At 41.9% G+C, this 21,800-nt stretch overlaps 1 protein-coding gene and 1 long non-coding RNA gene across 5 annotated transcripts in view, besides 2 other annotated features; one reads left to right on the plus strand and one right to left on the minus strand.

Annotated features, from left to right (window-relative positions):
• ITPR1-DT (ITPR1 divergent transcript) lies at positions 10,502 to 13,348 on the minus strand. Its single transcript, NR_108075.1, has 2 exons — positions 12,969 to 13,348; positions 10,502 to 11,553 (listed from the first exon to the last, which is right to left on the minus strand). It is a non-coding gene; the product is annotated as an ITPR1 divergent transcript (long non-coding RNA).
• Positions 13,533 to 21,800, plus strand: part of ITPR1 (inositol 1,4,5-trisphosphate receptor type 1) — a 354,159-nt gene continuing 345,891 nt past the window's right edge. For all 4 annotated transcript variants that reach the window (NM_001378452.1, NM_001099952.4, NM_001168272.2 and 1 more), the window contains 2 exon segments: positions 13,533 to 13,790; positions 14,616 to 14,691. The gene's annotated coding sequence lies outside the window, so the exon portion shown is untranslated.
• Positions 13,602 to 13,871: a silencer, noted in NCBI's record as "silent region_14018". NCBI's record gives its function as "represses an Ori minimal core promoter by ATAC-STARR-seq in GM12878 lymphoblastoid cells {active_cell/tissue: GM12878}" and the evidence as "EXISTENCE:reporter gene assay evidence [ECO:0000049][PMID:35858748]".
• Positions 15,170 to 15,464: a silencer, noted in NCBI's record as "tiled region #12228; K562 Repressive DNase matched - State 5:Enh". NCBI's record gives its function as "represses a minimal TATA promoter and a strong SV40 promoter by Sharpr-MPRA in K562 cells {active_cell/tissue: K562}" and the evidence as "EXISTENCE:reporter gene assay evidence [ECO:0000049][PMID:27701403]".

Consider the following 21,800-nt stretch of genomic DNA (forward strand, 5'->3'; position numbering starts at 1 on the left):
TGAGGTTTGAATGTGGGTCTTGAACCTCTGCAGTCTGGTGGTGGCACCTCACACAATGGTGGTGGCATATTGCGATCCTCCAAATGCCTCGGGGTTGGATCTGTAAATTACCAGGAATTCAGACAATTTTCGGGACTGTACACCGGGACATCACTCACAGAATTTCTCCTTCTCCATGGCGTCTGTGTTCTCCTCTCACTACCTACCTATCTTTCTCCGTTGCTTCATGGTTACTTCTGCTCCTTCACCACGACAATTTGCTTGTTGCTCATCCAACCCCTATGACCGAAAATTCAGGCCTCACAGTCATTTGCCCTAGTCTCTGTTTCACCACTTAAATCTAAAGAGCAGGAATTTCATTGACCCAGGGCATATTTTACATAAGGCAATGCTGCAGGTTGTCAAGCATGGGGCCTGAGATGCACCCTAAATGGTACAAAATAAAGCAGAGTGGTCTGTGAATGGACCAATGTCCTTTAACAATTAATTAATAATAGCCTGGAGTCCAGGAGTTCTAGACCAGCCTGACCAATATAGTGAGACCTCATCTATACAAAAAAAAAATCTGTAAATTAGCTGAGCATGGTGGCATGCGCCTGTAGTCCCAGCTACTCAGAAGGCTGAGGCAAGAAGATCACTTGAGCCCAGGAGGCAGAGGCTGCAGTGAGCCAAGATTGTGCCAGTGTACTCCAGCCTGGGCAATACAGCCAGACTCTGTCAATAATAATAATAATAATAATAATAATAATAATAGCTACTACTTATTTTTGCTTTTTAAGTTAGAGGCTTTTTACCAGGATTTTCTCTTTATAGCAACAATCCAGTGAGGTAGAAACTATATTGGTCCCTTCTCACATAAGCAATTTACCTAAACTAGTAAATGGCAAATCCCAGGATTCAGATCCAACTTTTTTGTTTTTTGGTAACAGCTTCGTTGATAAATAATTGGGCTGAGGGTGGTGGCTTATGCCTGTGATTACAGCACTTTGGGAGGCTGTGGCAGGAGAATGGCTTGATTCCAGAAGTTCCAGATAAGCCTGGGCTTCAATTAAAAAATCAGCCAGGTGTGGTGGTGAACACCTGTAGTCCCAGCTACTGAGTTGGGGGCTGAGGCTGGATGATCACATGAGCCAGGAGGTCGAGGCAACAGTGAATTGTGATCATGCCACTGTACTCCAGCCTGGGAGACTGAGTGAGACCCTGTCTGAAAAAAGAAAAATTAATATGCTATGCAATTCACCCATATAAAGTATACAATTCAATGCTTTTTTTGAATACAGTGTTTACAATCATCATCACAATCCATTTCAGAACAATTTCATCACCTCAACAAGGAATCCCATCCCCTTTAGCAATTTTCCTCATTTCTTCCCAGTACCCTCTCCACCAACCAGCCCTAGGCAACCACTAATCTGCTTTCTGTCTCTATGGATTTGTCTATTCTGGACATTTCATATAAATGGAATCATAGAATAAATGACCTTTTGTGACTGGCTTCTTTCACTTAGCATAATATATTTTCTTTTTTTTTTTTTTTTTGAGACGAAGTCTCACTCTTGTCCCCCAGGGGCACAACCTCGGCTCACTGCAACCTCCGCCTCCCGGGTTCAAGCGATTCTCCTGCCTCAGCCTCCCGAGTAGCTGGGATTACGGGCGCCTGCCACCATGCCCAGCTAATTTTTGTATTTTTAGTAGAGACGGGGTTTCACCATGTTGGCCAGGCTGGTCTCGAACTCCTGACCTCAGGTGTTCCACCGGCCTCAGCCTCCCAAAGTGCTGGGGTTACGGGATTACAGGAGTGAGCCACCGTGCCCGGCCCCCACTTAGCATAATATTTTCAAAGTTCATCCATGTTATATAGCATATATCTGTAGTTCAGTTTTTATAGTTAGATAATATACCATTGAACGGATACTCCATGTTTTGTTTATTTATCAGTTGATGGACATTTCTGTCCACTTTTTACCTATTATGAATAAGGCTGCTATGAATATTTGTGTACAAGCTTTTGTGTGGATGTACGTTTTCATTTCTCTTGGGTAGACAGATACCTAGGAGAGGGAAAATCTAGGCACTTTGAGTCTACTGTACTTATGGGCATGGTAAACTTCTTGAAGTCTGGCCTGTCTAGGATATAGATAACTTACTAGTTAGTATTGGCTATGTCTTTTTTTTTTTTTTTTTTTTTGAGACAGGGTCTCGCTCTGTCACCCAGACTAGAGTGCAGTTGTGCAATCATGGCTCACCGCTGCCTTGACCTTCCAGGCTCAAGCCATCCTCCCACCTCAGCCTCCCCAGTAGCTGGGACTATAGGCATGTGCCACTGTGTCTGGCTAAGTTTTGCATTTTTTGTAGAGATGGTATTTCACCACGTTGTCCAGGCTGGTCTTAAACTCCTAGGCTCAAGCAGTCTGCCTCAGACTCCCAAAGTGCTGGGATTACAGGCATGAGCCACTGCACCCAGCTGGCTATATCTTAACTTAATTAAAATTTCTAAGTGAATGAATTTTGCTTAATATATATAATTGAATATTAAATAACCAGGGTCACCTAGTTTGTTTATAATATTTTAAGGATCTTCATTATCACTTTAGAGACCCAGAAATATATTGACTGCACATGTCCATACAATAAATACATATGTAAAGTATCCACTATGTGCCAGGCATTGCGATAAGAACCCAAGAACCAACAGAATAAAAAGGCATAGTGTTGAAAATTATCCTGAAATCCACATGTGCATTCTAAATTCTATCCAAATCTCTTTATTATTGTGTGCTTTATGTATGCCAATATTTGCTAAATATACTTCTCTAGAAGAGTATATCATCCTACAAGCAAAAAGTCTTCTACACTTCCTGAACAGGCTTCTTCCTTATGGAGTAATGATAGAGGTCCATGATTTCTTTCATCCAAAATAGACCTTTAAGACAAACTCAACTGTTTCCTTATTTCACCAAGAATTTTTCTGTTTCTATTGCTTTTTTTTTTTTTTTTTTTTTTTTTGAGACAGGGTTGTGCTCTGTCTCCCAGGCTGGAGTGCAGTGGTGCCATCTCGGCTCACTGCAACCTCCGCCTCCCCGGTTCAAGCAATTCTCCTGCCTCAGCCTCCTGAGTAGCTGGGATTACAGCCACCCACCACCATGACTGGCTAATTTTTTGTATTTTCAGTAGAGACAAGGTTTCACCATGTTGGCCAGTCTGGTCTCGAACTCCTGGCCTCAAGTGATCCACTCGCCTCAGCCTCCCAAACTGCTGGGATTACAGGCTTGAGCCACATCACCCAGCCTCTATTGCATTTTAAATGAGATAGTAACACAAAATGTGACTCATAATTTAATACCACAATTAATCAATTTACTTACTCATTAAGAGTTATTCCATGAAACACATGAAAACTGTTTTTCCTTTTACTTTACCTTGTGGTATGGATTAATATGTTACCAAGTGCCACTCTTTTGCTTCAAAACATCATTCTAAAATAGGTTAACATTATAAGAAGTCTTTTTTTCCCTTTTCTTTTTAACGTTGGTGCCTCTTCCCTTGTGATATGCTCTGAAAATAATTTAAGTGGAAGAGAAATAAAGGCCAATTTAATCTGAGAACCTAGTTTCTAATACTGATTTGGGGTCAGAATGTACACATTCTTCCTTTAAAAAAAAAAGTGAAGACAACAAACATAATACAAAGATTTTCTATTTTTTTAGGTTGGTGCAAAAGTAATTGTGTTTTTGCCATTGAAAGTAATGGTGAAATCTGCAATTATTTTTGTACCAATCTAATAATAGCAACTTCTCACCCTACTTCTCTAACCAAGTGAAGATTTCCAAAACCAGATGGACTTAAACTTTTTTTTTTTTTTTTTTTTTTTTTTGAGATGGACTCTCACTCTGTCGCCCAGGCTAGAGTACAGTGGCGCTATCTCGGCTCACTACAACCTCTGCTTCCCAGGCTCAAGTGATTCTCCTGCCTCAGCCTCCCGAATGGCTGGGATTACAGGCGCCTGACACCATGCCCGGGTAGTTTTTGTATTTTCAGTGGAGATGGGGTTTCATCATGTTGGCCAGGCTAGTCTCAAACTCCTGACCTCAAGTAGTCGACCTACCTTGGCTTCCCAAAGTGCTGGGATTACAGGCAGGAGCCACTGTACCAGGCCCATTTTGCTTTTTCTGAAGGCCAAATGAGTGTTCAATAATACAGAAGTTAAAAATGATTAACAAATCCCACCCCCCCTTGTTTTTTTGGAACAAAATCTTGTTCTTCTGACCAGACTAGTGCAGTGGCATAATCATGGCTCACTGCAGCCTCAACCTCCCGAGTAGATGGTTCTACAGGTTTGTGCCACCACACTGGGCTAATGTTTTTATTTTTTATTTTGTAGAGAGAGAGTCTCACTATGTTGCCTAGGTTGGTCTTGAATTCCTGGGCTCAAGCTCATCTTGGTCTCCCAAAGTGCCGGGACAGTATCCTTTTTTGGAAAGACCAAATCTATTTACATATTACCACATGGAAATTTTTTCATTACGCCTTATAACAATGTTTCCTCATTCAGGCTCAAAAGAGTATATTCAGAAATTTAGAAAGAAAAGCCTTGATTTGCCTATGAGTGAGATTCTTTTGGAAACAACAATCTTTTTCTTTTAAATATCTTTATTTATTTATTTATTTATAGAGATGAAATCTCGCTCTGTCGCCCAGGCTGGAATGCAATGGTGTGATCTTGTCTTACTACAACCTCCGCCTCCTGGGTCAAAGCAATTCTCCTGTCTCAGCCTCCCGAGTAGCTGTGATTACAGGTGCCTGCCACGACAACCTACTAATTTTTTATATTTTTAGCAGAGATGGGGTTTTGCCATGTTGACCAGGCTGGTCTTGCGCTCTTGACTTCAGGTGATCTGCCCACCTCGGCCTCCCGAAGTGCAGGGATTACAGGCATGAGCCACCACCCTTATTTATTTTTGATTATAAGAGTGCTATTTGCTGTTTCTTTTTTTTTTTTCTAATAAACACTGATCTTTATAGAATCTTTATAGAATTTGCTTTAAGATAGCCAATCCCTCTCCTCCCCATCCCTCTCTTCCCCTTCCCTCCCCTTTCCTTTTATTTGGATAGACCCTCACTCTGTTCCCCAGGCTGGAGTGCAGTGGCATGATCTCGGCTCTCTGCAACCTCTGCCTCCTAAGTTCAAGTGATTCTCCTGCTTCAGCCTCCTGGGTGTGCACCACCACACCCAGCTAAATTTTTTAAATGTATTTTTAGTAGAGACGGGGTTTCGCCATGTTGGCCAGGCTGGTCTCAAATTCCTGACCTCAAGTGATCTGCCCACCTCGGCCTCCCAAAGTGCTGGGATTACAGGCATGAGCCACGGTCTTTTTCTGTTTCTTAAGGTATTTCAGGTATTGAGTAAGACTTAGACTACTTTTAAAATCGATGCACTTTCTGTTGCCTCCTCCTCCTCCTCCCCCTCTTCCTTCTAAGAGGTAACACAGTTAAAAAAAATTGAAATAAAAGGGCTTGTTTGGAGGACAGTTGAGCAGAGAAACTACTCAGAAGAAGGTATTTCCCTCATTGACTCGCTATGTTATATTCAACATAAATGTTTCAATGACAAAGAATCATCTTGATAATATGGCCTATAATGGAGAAATATTCCAGTGTGAATGGACAGGTGCCTGGATGGTGGTGAAGAAACCAAGGAAGATCAGAGGACCACAGCACCAGCCGTTTCCTAGGTCACAACTGCTAGGTCTGCAAACTCTTACTTGAAAGAAGAAACAAGGAGGGAAATGGCATGAGAGATCAGCTGATGACAATAACCTCTGATAAAAAAGCAGCCAGTCTTCTTATGTGTCATCCTCTAAGCACCATGTATGAAATTCCTCTGTAAGAAAGGTAGTGATCAAGAAAAAGGCAGATAGTAAAAGTTCTATGCATTCCGTTCAGTCTTTTTAGTGCCTAGTGTAGCACCTGCTAGGGTAGGTAGGTACCTATTAAACATCAGTTTAATAATGACAGACATGAAACCAACCAAATGTTCTTAATAGCTCCCTCTACCCTATTCCTCACCAGTCCAATCCCACTTCCCTGGGCTGACCCTACCCAAATGATCTGTTTCATAAAGGATTGACTCAAATTCTCTGTCTGGATTGAACTCATGATACAGGTTACCTATATCCTAAAACTAAAGTTAGAGGGGGAAATACTACTTAAAATCTTGAAATAAAATTAAGTGGGAGCAAAACAAAGCAGTTAATTTGCATGAGTCTACACTGATAGAGCATGAGAAGTGAAAAAAGCTATAAGTTCTACTTCGCTGGTAACTGAATTACATAGAATTCACTGCTCAGTTTAGTAACTAAGTCTAATGATCATTAAAAAGCTTTCCCAGGAGAAGGGAAAGATGAAGCCTGCAATACTCAAGTTTTCCACTTCCTTTTTGGAGATGGAGTCTCGCTCTTGTCGCCCAGGCTGGAGTGCAGTGGTATAATCTCGGCTCACTGCAACCTTCGCCATCCGGGTTCCAGGATTCTCCTGCCTCAGCCTCCTAAGTAGCTGGGACCACAGGCATGTGCCACCTAACCTGGCTAATTTTTGTATTTTTAGTAGAGATGTGGTTTTGCCATGTTGCCCCGGCTGGTCTGGAACTCCTGACTTCAAATGATCCTCCTGCCTTGGCCTCCCAAAATGCTGGCATTACAGGCATGAGCCACTGTGCCTGGCCTTCCATTTCCCTTTTCTTATGCATAATTCTTTTTGCTTTTCTGGTTGATTTGTAAAGACCCTAAGAAGGACATATTGCAACAAATACAATTACTCCTAACTTGGAGACTGACACAAAAGTTGTTTAGTTATAATAAGTAGGTTGTTCTGCATTTTACCCAAAAAGCTAAGTGTAAATTTTTCAATCATTTGTTGAAACATCACTATCACCTTCAAAGGTAAAAAATAATTACTTCTCCAGCATAACTGTAAAACTATCACAAAAATGGGCACAGACATCTCCACGAATGTGGCAAGATTTTAGATAATTTTTTGAATAAGATAGGTAAGTGTAATCATATATAATTTTTAGATTAAATTGGCATGCATTTTATTTTTTTTTGAGACAGAATCTTGCTCTGTCACCCAGGCTGGAGTGCAGTGGTATGATCTCGGCTCACTGCAACCTCTGCCTGCCGGGTTCAAGGGATTATTGTGCCTCAGCCTCCCGAGTAGCTGGGACTACAGGTGCATGCCACCACACATTTGTGGAGAGTGAGTTTCAGATACCATGAGATTTCACTTCAAAATACTTTAGTATACATCTCTTGAGGACATTTTCATACATAACCACAATGCCATCATCACACCTAAGAAAATTATTTACAATTTTTATAATATGCAAATTGTTTACAGTTGCTCAGAAATGTCTTCTATAGATTCATTTTAAAATTTCTTTTAATCCAAAATTCAAAGGTCACATGTTGCATTTAGTTGTAAAGTGTGTTTCAGTCTTTTTAAATTTTTAATTTGCAATTGACACATAATTGTCCATATTCATGGGGTAAAATGTGATGTTTCAATGCATGTATACATAGTATAATGATCCAGTCAGGGTAATTACCAAATGCATCACTTTAAGCATTTGCATCTAGATAATCCTCCTGCCATATTTTTTAAATGACACTGATTCATTTGAAGAATCCAGGCCAATGGTCTTGTGGAATGTCCTGCATTCTGAGTTTGTTTGATTGTTTCCTCACGAATATTTTTGGCAAGAACATTTCATATGTGATGTTGTGTACTTCTTATAGAATCATATACATATGTAAATAGTGTCTAGTTGTCCCAGTATTGCTGGTAATAAATTTGATCACGTGGTTATGTGGGTGAATCGTGGGTGATTGCCATTATCTCTTTACTGTAAAGGTCCATTTTTCACTTCATAATTTGTGTGTGATGTATGGAGTGATTTTTAGGACCACATGACTATCTTATTCCTCATCAACATTTTCCCCAGAGTGTTTGGCATCTATTGATAATCTGCCTAAATAATTTTTTACTTATTTATATTTTGAGACGGGGTCTCGCTCTGTTGCCCAGGCTGGAGTGCAGTGGCATGATCACAGCTCACTGCAGCCACTATCTCCCTGGGCTCAGGTGATCCTCCCACGTCTGCCTCCCAAGTAGCTGGGACTACAAGTGCATGCCACCACGACCAGCTAATTTTTATATTTTTTGTAGAGATGGAATTTTGCCATGTTGCCCAGGCTGGTCTTGAATTCCTGGGCTCAAGTGATCTGCCCACCTTGGCCTCTCAAAGTGCTAGGATTATAAGCTTGAGGCACTGTGCCTGGCCTATCTAAATAAATTATTATACTGGAAGCTGCAAATTTGCTAATGTTATTATTTCTTCTACATGTATTAGCTGAATTATTCTGTAAGGAAGAGCTTTATGTTTTTTCTTTGATACACAGATTTCATTTCAGTTTAAACACTAGGATAAGACAAAAAAGCCTTTTCCAAGATTTCTTCAAGTCCCCAGATCTAGCTTGTCTACCAGAGCAATTTAGGATGACAGTCTTGCAGATGGGAGGCAGGAGATGGGGTAGTTAATAATAGACCCCTGGCTCTGCATGTTTTACAGGAAAATAATGAATAAGAAAATAATAGTTCTCTTTACTTGCTTACATGATTCTAGACAACACTGGCAGCAATCATCAGAGATGGTATAGCAGCTACTTCCATATTGCATAGAGTACTAAGAATTCTTAATTTTTGCATTATTTTGTAGTTATCATGCTGCCTTCCAGATTTTAAATTATTGACATTTTGTCCATGTTCCCTCCACTCACAAGGTGACTGACCAGCAGTTTCTTCCGCACTTCAGAGATAGGACAACAAAAATAGGCCCTCTTGCTGTGTCTTCTCTCATTCTCACAGGATATCTAGAGCCTGGATTCAGAAAACATCTTACTTTCTATAGCTCCATACCAAGTCGTCCTCTCTCCTGCCCTTGTTCGAATAGCAACTCCACTTTTTCCATGTCAAGTAGGGTTGATTAAGTGTCTGTAGGTCATTTCTTCTGGTCATCTTTGTAAGTTCCAATTAGCCAGTAAGTGCTGAATGCTTACTCTGTATCCAGAGCAGAACAAGATGCTGCAAAGGGTCCTACATTTATAGGACTTAGTCCCTATCTTCAAAGAGGTTATCTGAATGGTGAGACAAAAATCACCGAAAAATACAGCTAAAAGATAATCTAGTCTTGTGGGAGTATCTATGAATGATTTTTAGAGGACTGGTACAAGAAACTTAAGAACTGGTGCAGAAATTTGCAGTATCTGTGTTGTGCTGGGGCAAGTGCCCATGGATTTTGTGAGTTTCCACGAGGGCTGTGACTCTATCCCTCCACCATAAAACATTCACAATGACCAAGAGAGACTAGTTGGACTAGCTATGCAGTAGCTATTTGTCTTTGCTGATGTTTTCCATGGTCAATGGTAGTCCATCACATTAGATAATATAGTGTCAGTGCCAAAATATAGATTGAATTCTATGATTGGGTGTTGGACATTCTTTCTTGCCATTTAAGTGTCATTTAGAGTTATTAATTAAAGCACTCAAGGCTCATTGTGACATTCATAGGTGATTCTGTTCTTTTTTTTTAAATTTTTTACAGGTACATAGTAGGTGTATACATTTTGGGGTACATATTTTGATATAGGCATGCAATGTGAAATAAGCGCATCATGGAGAATGGGCTATCCATCCCCCTCAAACATTTATTCTTTGAGTCACAATCCAATTACACTCCATAGGCAATTGAAATCTTATGCCTGAGAGAAAATTGGGAATAGTGCTGCCCCAATAATCTGAAGTTTGGTTTGGAACTGAGTACTGTATCAGGACGCATCAACATTATCTCCATTCTTGTCAATAATATTCTCTTACTTTAGTATAGCGAGGGTGAGTTTGCAAAGCCCTTTCATGTCCTATGACCCATTGACCCAGTGAGATTGACAAGGCAAGGATTGTTAGTATCACTTTATCAAACAAAACAAAACAGGATATAAATGGTACAGCTGGGTGTCAAAACCATTTTCTCCGATCCCTCCTTTCTCCAGCTTATCTTGCTCTCTTAACCAGGGCAGCATTTGAGGTGGGCTTCTAGGCAGATGAATTCAGTTAGAGTTTTCAGCTGTGTACTGCTGATGAAACCTGCTTCTATTTGTAGGTCTTCCCTGGGGGTAGGCTCAAGTGCTAGTTTTGGACTTTCTTCAGACTTCTGCTCAGTCTATGATACTGTACTGACCTTGCAAAGCCCTCGTAGTTCCCTGCATGAACATTTCAAGGGCAAAGTCATAAATGGCCATTTTAATGGGCTGGTCATCATCTCGAATTGTGATCCTGGGAATCAGATTCTTGGTTTTCTAGATCAGTGCTGCATAATATATGATATGAGCTATACATGTAATTTTTAATTTCCTAGTAGCTATATTAAAAAAGGAAAAAGCAGGTAAAATAAATTCTAATAATCTATTTTATTTAACACAAATATCCAAAATATTACCACTTCAACATGTAATCACTATACAAATTAAGATATTTTGCTTTTTTTTGTACTAAGTCTTTGAAATTCAATGTGTTAACATCTATTTCACATCTCAGAACTAGCCACATCTTACGTGCCTAAATGGCTAGTAGTCACTATACTGGAAAACACAGGGATAGAAAATTCTTCTAGAAAAAAATAGTGAAGAGAAAGCAGCTCCTTTCCCTCTACTGATAACAGAGAATGAGTTAGGCAGTGACCCTTATATTCTGACATTAATCATCATAATTTATCAGTCATACATCATCATAGAGAACCTCTTCACATCATAGCAAAATTACTTTCTAGTGACCTAGCAGCTTCTAGACCTTAAAAATGTTGAATAGGATTATCCATACATACAGGCGGAGAAAATAGGCTATGATAGAGATGGGCTACGAGGTGTTGCATGCTCCAAAAATATGGTCATGTATCCTGCCATATGCCTGACACACCTTCCATTAAAACATCTTCTTAACAAACTTTTTTTTTTTTTTTTTAACACATCTACTAAAATGTGCAGAAAGAAGAATAAGTCCTTCTGGGTCAGGGGAGGTAGAGAGCACAAGCATGAATAAGACATAGATGCTGCCTTCAGTGAAATTTGTGGTCTCCGAGGGAAGACAGTGGATAATGCAGGTAGGAGATAAATGTCCATTATATGATGAAAATGAAAATTGTCCAACTGGATCTTCAGAAAACCGCTGTTAATATTCCATTGTTTCTGAGTTAGAAGCACATGAAATAATTACCCTTCACTATTTACCAGTTACACAGGCATACACTGATTTGTTGAATTTGCTTGAAAAGTAGAGCCGAAGATCCTTTGAAAATGGAAGAGGTTTTCATGGGGGAAGAGATGAGTGGGGGCGAATGAGAAACATCTCCTTTATATGGCAGATGCGGCAGTTTCTTGATGATGGGGAGAAGCAGCTTAACGTATTAGGCACTAGACCCCAGCGTCCAGTGACCAGGGGATAATGCTGACAGGGAACGGAGGGCAGGAGTGAATATCGTGAACACAAACTTTGTCTATTTCAAGAGCTTTGCCCCTTCCTGGACTGACATTAAATGCTTATCTGAGCAGGCAAATACAGTGCACATGTTTACATTGGGGAGGTAGCGGAGACTAGTAGTTTAGGACCAGGGTTCAAGACTCAGCTATTTGTGTGACTTTGGAGGAAGTAATTTAATCGCTTTGTGCCCCCCCTCAGTTTTCTCATAAGTAAAAAATGGCTTAATAGGATTTAATTAGGTGCTATACAGAAAGAGTTTAGACCAATGCCTGACACATGGCATTCACCCAATAAGTGTCAATAATTATGATTCGTTTTGGCATTATTATGTCAGTAATAACTATTAGCTATGATTCTCCTCTAATTTGTTCCTAAAGTTTCATGAGACTCGATTTTATATTAAGGAATCCTGCTAAAAAGTAGACATATTCTAATAAGAATTTCCTTCAGATGGCAAAACTGGGGCAAAGAGATGAAAATGACTTGCCCAAGGGCTCAGAGGCTGCTCCTAAATGGGGAGAGAGGCTATTTAAGGCAATGGCGGTGGATTTCCCCAAAGACAAGGGTTTCATACACGTAGAGTCTGGAACGGGAGTCCAGGCTGTACCACTTAACTCGAGGGGTCATTTGGGAAGTTACCTGATTTCTCTGAGCCCTGGATTGTGCACCTGCCAAATAGATATAATAAATATACCTACAGTTGGTAAAACTCAATAGCATGACGCATGAAAACTGCATGTGGTCTGGGCTCAATAAAATCAGCCTCCCCATTGATTATTATCATTATTATTACTATTGTTATAACAGATCTTTAGGCGGCGTCAGGAAGTGCCTGTCTGGGATGCTATAATGCGTTTGGCTCACCACTATGCCCCAGCGCCTGGCACCTAGTAAACACTCAGGAAACGTTTGAGGAATGAATATACGTCATTTGAGGCAAGACAGGGCAGTCGGCTGACTGCCTCCGGGCTTAGCTCTTCCCCTCCTTGCAAAAGCCGGAGCCCTAAGCAGCGTGTAGCCCGGGAGCCCAGGCATTACTTGGCAGCGGGTGAAACCCACCTTGCCCCATTCGGAGCTCTTGGAGAGCGCCCCGCCTGGATGCGCATCTCTGTGTGAGCGGCTCTTTCCTAAGCCCTTATTTTTCTGGTTTGCGGTTTATTTACTTAAGCATTTACAGCTCCCAGGAGCAGAGGGGCTGCTAGAGGTACGGTCAGGACTGAGGTCGCGGTTTGTATTTATTTTCTGCCTCCCAATCTCAGAGCCGGCAAGTCACAACACGGCTCCTTTATTTGTGCACCGGAGAGGTCTGCCTTTCTTTACCTCCTCACGGGCGATAAAAGACAAGCAACTCGGGCTCAGAAAAGTGCTCTCACGCGACTTGCCTGTGTCTCCGCTTGCGTGGACCGTCGCTCCCAGGCTTGGTTTCTCGTGCAAACCCGAGCAGGGCGGAGCAGATTAAATAAAGACACCTCGCGCCTTTAATCCTTGACCGCAAACACTGGCGTTTTTGTGCCCCGGATTTCTGAAATTCTTGGCTCGGGGAACCAAGGCAGGGGGAGGGTGGGCTTGTAAAAACTTCCCAAAGCAGAAATCCGAGCTCCTAGCCCCTCCCCGGCCCCAGTGACACCTGGATTCCAGGGAAGGGGGGCAGCCGGAGGAGAGGCGTCCCCAAGGGTTGCGGGCGCTTCCCAGGGGTGACTTTGAACGGCTGGCTCCAAGCCCTACCGACCCCAGCCAAGGAACAGGCTCAGCAGCCTGAAAGCCTCGCAGGACGCCCCTCCCCTGTCCCCGCACGCGTCTATTTAGGGCCCAGCCCGGGCGCCCAGGGGATTCTGGGACTTGTAGTCCCTCCCCGCAGCCTCAGGCGCCGCCACGACCCGCTACTTGGACTACATTGCCCAGGGAGCTTCCCGGCCTATATAAGCCACCCGGAGCCGCTTTAAAGTGCAGTAACCATGTGGATGTGCTGCTGAAGCGTTTCCTCAAGCTCGCTGGGGTGGGAGGAGAGGAGGAGGAGGAGGTGGTGGTGGAGGAGGAGGCAGGGGGTGGAGAGAGAGAAAGCGCACGCCGAGAGGAGGTGTGGGTGTTCCGCTTCCATCCTAACGGAACGAGCTCCCTCTTCGCGGACATGGGATTACCCAGCGGCTGCTAACCCCTCTCCTCGCCCTGCTCCCCCAAACCGGCGTGGCTCCCCGGGCACCAAGGTAGCGGCTGGGGCCGGGCAGAGGGCGCGGGGAGTTGGCACTGGCTCCCCGGGCGCAGAAGTTTTTGCCCCGCTCTCGGGGAGATCTTGATGGATGTGCATGCACTTGGCATGCATTTGGGGGTTCCTTTACTGCGGGCAGTTGTTTTGGGGGGAGCTCATTTGAAGCTTAAAAAACAAATATCCTCTACTCTAGTGCGTGGCTTTGGGGGCTCCCCATTCTGGTCTGATGTGGCATTCCCCCAAGTTGGAAACTGTTGCTGCAGCTGCAGGAAATAGTTCTTTTTTTTTTTTTTTTTTTGAAGAGAGGTTGTGGGGGTGTCATATGTGAGTCTGCTCAAGGAAATAATCTTTCTAAAAATGTATCCCTCTCTTGCGCTCCGTGGTTGGGAGAATAATGCATGTGTAGGGGCCCCCCGTGGGGAGGGTTTTTAAAAACGGAAGAAAACCGGAGAAGCGGTGAGGGATGAAGTGTGGACGAAGCTCATGTCCAATGAGGATGCGGGCTTCGGATACTTGGCCTTCTCGCCGGGAAACAAGTGCTTTGGGATCTGCCAAACACTTCCCTTAGTTCCAGCCTCCCGCACGTTCGAAGTTTGTGCGTGCCTAGTCTCAATTGTCAGTTACATCCTGGAAATAAGTAAGCGTAGTTACCTGGAATCTTCGCCCAAGCGATCCCACCAACCTGCCTACCAAGTTTGGGGGCGGGGGGGCTGTCCCCAGTGAAGGAGGCTAAAGAAGGTGGAAACTTGTAATTTGGAGCATTTCTGTTAGAGCTCATCTTCCGCGGTCTGGTACTCAGTCTTCTTTCTTTCTAAATATTTAGGAGCTGACTACAGAGGAGCAGGATTTGCACCCCTCGCTGGGCTTGCTTTGGCAACAGAGTGCCTGACCCAGGTCAGGTGAGTGTGGAAGCCTGAGTGCTGTAGTCAATAATGAGTTTTTGTCCTAAGCCTATTTTAAGTTCTATCTAAACCGCCAAGGAGGTGGGGAGTAAGAAAGAAAAAGAAACTCCGTGGCTCAGTCTTCAAAATTTGCCTCTGCCTTTGGTGAGGGCTTTTGGGAGCAGAGGTCCAGTGGACAGTCCGTTTCTTGGAAGTAGCTGAGAATTGAAGGAGCCTGAAAGTTTATGAGAGAGGAGGGGAAAAGGCCATTAAATGGAGCAATAAAACGGCGGCCCATTGCCGGTCTGAAAAGCATGCTGATGATTTAAATTCTGAAGGATACAGTGCATTTCATATGCCAAAATGTGTAAGCAGTATTAACTGCCTCTCTCCTTCAAGAAATAGTCACTCTTTTCTAATTTTGAACGTGTGCTTAATCAGAGTAGGTTGGATTGCAAGAAATGAAAGTGGTTGCTGCAAGTTGAAAGAATTAGAACTTTAAAAAGGGAAGTGAGTTATTGAAGCTTAAGGTGGTAGCATCCAGCCCTTGACTCAAGCCACCTGAGTGTCAAGGAATCTGGCAGGTCCCTGTTGTTTTGGGGCCCGTGGTGGAATATGAGCTGAGAGCAGCATTTATCTGTAAACACAACAGTTCCTATTTTTTCCCCAAAATGGTCAGACTGCATTTGAAGAGTGGGAGGTTTCAACGGGTGCACGTACATCACTATTGCTGCAGATTTGGCTATCAGGAGTTTTTTCTCCTGAAATGTTCAGGAACATGGTAAATAACAGGGTAACAGAGGTAGGTGGGGGTGGGTGGCTGGGTCTTAATAACTTTTTTAACATTCTAAATATTTAGCTGTTCCCTGGGCTACAATCTTTGGGCTTTTCTAATGAGAAAATAAAAGTCAGACACTTCATTATAGTGGTATAGTGCTTTTGTTTCCTGTTGATAAGATCCTCAGGAGTACTGGCGGAGTGAGAAGCATTTGGATGTGAGAACTCTAGTTTCTTCTTGGAGTTCTGTTGACTCACATGGCTGTGTGGGTGCTCATAGAGCCAAGGATTAGGCCCAGTTCCCCTTTTCAGAATTAGCTGTACAGCAAGGAAAAACTGGTCCACAGACTCTTTTCTAACTGGTTGCTAAAAATAATAAGATGGACACATTAAGTACTTGTAAGCCAGGTCCAGAGCCATGTATCTCAGAAACCCTGTGCGTCAGATGCAGGTGAAGAAACTGAGGTGCAGAGAGTGAAATCACTTGCCCAGTAGCTAGTACAAAGTAGGAGCAGGGTGTAACCTCAGGCGGTGAGGCTGTACTGCATCCCACAAATGGACCTCAGTTGATTTGGGGATGCTGGTGGTGAGAGGGAAGCTAGGAAAAATGGTAAACTTACTGCTACTGATGAAATAACTTGCATACCTCCCACCAATGATGAAATAATACATAACATTGATGTAAGAAGGAAAGGATGTAGCCACAAACATAGGGATAAAAGAGTGCAGATATTTGAGGAGGTATTAGATACTGTAATGAGTTCATTTTGGAAAGCCTGAATGGGGAGAGTAAAAAGAAACAAAACCACAAGGAACATTATGTAAGTTAAGCATTAGGCTCACCTCCTAGCTGAAATACATCTTGATTGTTTACATCAAAGAATCTGAGTAGGTTAAAAGGATCAGGCGTTTCCCCATCTGAATAATTCGAAAGTTTAAACTGCAGTTAGACTGCAATGTGAAATGTTGATACCTTTTCATATACCTTCCAGTTTGCTTTGCAGCCAGTTGTGCAGACGTTTTTGTTCTCCATTTTTTCTTTCAAGTTCATGTGTGTGTGTGTGTGTGTGTATGCATATGTACACTGAAAGTACAATCTGCTCTTTGAATAATTCAAATCAGAACAGAAAATCCTTTCAAGATATCATTCTTATCAGGCAGGGAAAGTTCTTCATGTTCTAAGTGAATTACTCTGGCTCTTGCCTTGAGACCCATGAAAGTCATTTGGGGTTGACAATGGTATCTATTTAAACCAAGTGATTGTCTTTTGGAGGGAATTGGCATCTTTTCTTTAGGAATGAGAAGTGGAATGGTTGCTTAGAAAAAAAGAGATAGATGAACTCCACAGAAAGATCAAGAGTCTTTTCTTCAAAATATTTTTAAGTGAGGAAGATCAGGGTGTTGGTATTGCGGGGAGGGAGGAGAGTGGGCAGAGAGAAAGATAAAAAAGAAACCTTTAATCCAATGGTGTGCAACCAACTGACTTCCAGAGGGGGGAATATCACATGGCTTTTCAACTCATTTATAAAGATATCATGGAAACTGTCTGATTTCTTCATGAGCAGCTCTTAGAAAACAAACAAAAATAAAACAAACACCAAATATGAACAACAGAAAAAAACAGCCAAAATAAAAGTAGGCCTGGAGTTAGGTTTCTAGGTCAAGCTGTCTTTGGCTACATCTAATTAAGGAGTCTCCACAGGGCCAGTGTCTATCTTGTTTACTATTGGTTTGATTTTTAAAAATAAAACACATTGCATTTGCAGGCTGTCTGTTAACCAGAAGTCCATGCAGTTTTTTTTTTTTCCATTTTTGCTGTTTTAAGTTTGTGCATAGCTCAATTGATGAATGCAATTAAGGCTTGAAGTCGGTGATGTGAATGACATAACTTCTATGATTCCTTACAATTCTCTTGGTTTCTGTGGTTCTGAGATGATTGCTAATGAGAATAAGCCAGATACACCACTGAAACCGTCACCCATTCAACTTTGAGATTTCTAAATTGGATGTAGTTTAAGGCACATGGTGTGGTAAATCTATTTAACAGACTCTAAGACCTGTTCAAGTTGTGTGCGATTCAAATGTTTTATTCTTTATTCAACAAATTTCTTGAGCACCTGCTATGTACTAAGATGTATTCCAGGTGCTCAGGATATAGCAATGAACAAACCATCCCGTTCCCAAGAGGCTTACATCTCAGTTGGTGGGAGGCAGCCAATATAAATAAACAAGTAAGTATTATAGTATTAGAGGTAGTAAAAGCTATGGAGAAAAAGAAAACTGGTTAAAGGGGGAACAGAAAATAACAAGTGGAGAAATTAGATCCCTTGTGCATTGCCGGTGGGAATGTAAAATGGTGAAGCTGCTGTGGAAAACAGCATGGCAGTTACTAAAAAAAATTAAACATAAAATTACTATATGTCCCAGCAATTCCACTTCAAGGTATATACTTTAAAAAATTGAAAGTAGGGACGTGAGCAGATATTTGTACACCTGTGTCAGTAGAAGCATTATCACAGTAGCCAAAAGGTAGAAACAACACAAGTCTACTGATGAATGAACAGATAAAATGTGAAATATACATACAATGGAATATTATTCAGCCTTAAAAAGGGAATTCTGACACATGCTACAATGTGGATGAACCTTGAAAACATGCTAAGTGAAACAAGCCAGAAATAAAAGGACACATATTTTATGATTTTTCTTATAGAGGCATCTAGAGTAGTCAGATCCCTGCAGACAGAAAGTAGAATGGGGATTGCTGGGGGAGATAGAAGACAGGAAGGGGGAGTTAGTGTTTATTGAGGATAGAGTTTCAGTTTGGAAAGATGAAAAAGTTCTGGAAATGGATGGTGGTGATGTCACACAACAGTGTGAATGTACTTAGTGCCACTGAGTTATAACATTTCAAAGTGGTATATTTTATGTTATGTATATTTTACAGTAATTTTAAAAAGCAACAAAACATGATGAGGGGTATTAAGGGAGTACTCAGGTGGGGATTAGATCTTTACTACATGACATCTCAGCACAGATCTGAAGGAGGCAAACGAGTTGACCCTGTAGCTGTCAGGGAAAAAGTGTGTTCCAAATGTCAGAGCAGCAAGTACAGAGGCCCTGAGATAGGAGTGTTTGTGACATGTTGGAGGAAGGAGAAGAAGGCCAGGGGAGAGTGCTAGGAGTTCAGGAGGGAGAGGGAGTCAAGGTCCAGACCTGTAGGGACCAGATTTTGCAGGTCAACAGTGGTTTATCTGAGGACTTGTAAACTCTCACGGAATTCTCAGTGTGGTTTTCAACATCACAAAACTACATTGTCCTTTCTGAAGAGACTCTGGTAAGGTTGGCAGGATCACATACCAGATGGGAACTCGATAGGGGGTAAAACCCAGATTTCTGGACTGTCTGGTTAATGACAGGACTTACCTGGAGTTGTAATTCACTTCAGTAGAAAAGGAAAGTTTGACAAATAGGTGAACGTACAGTTGACTTGGAGAGCAAATTGTAAGAACATAATGATAATCCTGGAGTTTCAACACAAACCTATGTCTTACCGCCACCCTGCGTTGTATCCAGTGTCGTTTTAAGAGATATTTACAAGGAGGACTAATATTCTGCTCTCCAGCATCCTTGAGGAATTAGAAGCTTCACATCAGTGATTCTCCTTAATAAGTGAAGTGGACCCCTGCACATGTGCAAACTTAAAGCAAACCTCAAATTTTGTTACTTATTACATAAGATATACATATTCATGTAGCACACACCTTGGACTCGGCTACTCAGGGGACGGAGGCAGGAGAATTACTTGAGCCCGGGGGTTTGAGGCTGTAATATACTATGATTGCATCTGTGATAGCTACTGTACTCCAGCAAGACCCCATCTCTGTTAAAAAAATTTTTTTAAGGAGAAAAAGATAGCATATTCATTGTAGTGCAACATTAGGAAATAAAGAGGAGCAATGAAACAAAACAAAACAATTCAACTATTAGAGATTAGGGTTTCAGGCTTTTCCTCTAAGTATGCATATGTAAAATTTACGTATATATTTAAATTTCATAAAAAGGGACTAACACAGTATCTCTCATTTGGTAAATTACCTTTTGTACATCTTGAACATCTTTTTAATAAACAGACATCTGTGTCTCATTTTTCTAAATGTGCCTACCCCTTTGATGGCCTTTCATTTTTATTGAGTCTAGGTTTATACTTCCCTGATATATATACATATATAAATAGATATTTGTAAAAAATACATAATATAATAATTTTACACATACACGTATTTAACAGTTTGAATTAGGATCCAAATAAGGTAAATACATTACAAATGGTTGATGTTCACTAATCTCTGTATTTCCTCTACAGATCTTTTTTCCATGCATTTTTTTTGTTGTTATCGAAGAAACTGGGTGATACACGTCTCCACAGTTTAGACTTTGCTGACTGCATCAGTGCAATGTGGTTTAACATGTTTCTGTATCCCCTTGGGGTACCATAATTTGGTAGTTAGATGTAGAGGCTTCATCAAAGTTAGGTTCTTTTCTTTTTTAAATTGAGAAGGGGTCTCACTATGTTGCCTCGGCTGGCCTTGGACTCCTGGTCTCAAGCAGTCTTCCTGTGCCAGCCTTCCCAGTAGCTGGGACTCCAGTAAGTCTGCTCTGTAAACTTTGCTTAGGTGGGTGTGAGATGTTGGATGTCTACTCTTGTTATATGAGCACCCCTTGATGCTCACTACCTGAATCCATTAGTTCTCTCGTCAGTGAGAAATGGGCTGGTAAAGTTCCTGAGATTTCGACACAGCCCTTGTTGTCTTTGCTAGCTTTTTTGATTTCTGTATAACAAGATGTTCCAGGCTCATCTTCTCTATTTCTTATCCCAGACCAAGAATCGGCCTTTTCTCCAAGGAGCCTTTGCTCTTTTAAGAGGGAAATTTTGTTTGTTTTGTTTTTTTGAGACAGAGTCTTACTCTGCTGCCCAGGCTGGAGTGCAGTGGCATGATTTCAGCTCACTGCAACTTCTGCCTCTTGGGCTCAAGCTACCCTCTCACCTAATCCTCCTGAGTAGCTGGGACTATGGGCATTCACCACCACACCTGGCTAATCTTTTTTGTTTTTTTGTAGGGACGGGATCTCGCCATGTTGTCCAGGATGCTCTCAAACACCTAGGCTCAAGCAGTGTTCTCACCTTGACCTCCCAAAGTGTTGGGATTACAGGCGTGAGACCATCATGCCTGGCCAAAATGGTATTTAGAGATCTCCACCTAGGGCCAAGTAGGTACTCTTGTCATCCTCATCTTACAGACGAGAAGACAAATTAAAATGAAGAAAACTTAAAACTTGAATTTCCTAGGTGAAAGTATTTCCAAAATGCAATTGACCTATCCTTGCCTTTTTGCAAAGAATTCTGAATATAATCTAAACTTTTTTTAAAAATTGGTTTTGGGTTTAGCCTTAGTGTCCTGAGGCTAAGACATCATTGTTCTCCCCAGATGAGCAGGAATGTTACTCTTGTTCTGTATCCGTGTTTTTCAAACTCTGTGGAAACCCACTAAGAGGTTGTTAAATCAATTTAGTGGGCCTTGATGAACTTTTTATTTTTAGTTTTTGAAACAGGGTCTTGCTCTGTTGCCAAGGCTGGAGTACAGTGACATGATGTTGGCTCACTGCAGCCTCAACCTCCCAGGCACAAGCGATCCTCTCACCTCGGTCTCCTGAGTAGTTGGGACCACCAGCGTGCCCCACCACTCCTGGCTAATTTAAAAAAAAAATTTTTTTTTGTAGAGATTGGGTCTCCCTGTATTGTCCAGGTTGGCCTTGAACTTCTAGGCTCAAACGATCCTCTCGCCTTGGCCTCCCAAAGTGCTGGGACTGGAGGTGTGAGTCACCGGGCCCAGCCAAACTTTTTTTTTTTTTAATGACATGCACTAGAATAGAAAACATGGAAGTGTATTTCGTGGATACTTAAAAAGAACTGTGTATGTTGCAACAAAATTCTTTGTCTCACATACACAATGAACATTGGGTTGTAAGTTCAATAGTTTTCTTACTCTGAGCTGCAGTCAAAAGTTTGAGAAACACTGTACTACATCTTTGCCACTCCAAGTGTGGTCCCCAGACCAGCGTTACTGACATTAACTGGGAACTTGCTAGCAATTGCAGACTCTCAGACCCTACTCCACATTCAATGAATGAGAACCTACATTTTTGCAAGATCCTCAAGTGATTCACACACACGTGAAAATACGAGAAGATATGCATTGGAGGATGCCTGTCCCTGTGCTTTTTCAGTCCTTGTCATTTAGTGGTTCCTTTGCTTTTTCATGGCTAGCTCTCACCTGTTCAGGCTGAAG

The sequence above is a fragment of the Homo sapiens genome, chromosome 3, assembly GCF_000001405.40.
Source record: "Homo sapiens chromosome 3, GRCh38.p14 Primary Assembly".
In the NCBI taxonomy this organism is placed as follows: Eukaryota; Metazoa; Chordata; class Mammalia; order Primates; family Hominidae; genus Homo; species Homo sapiens.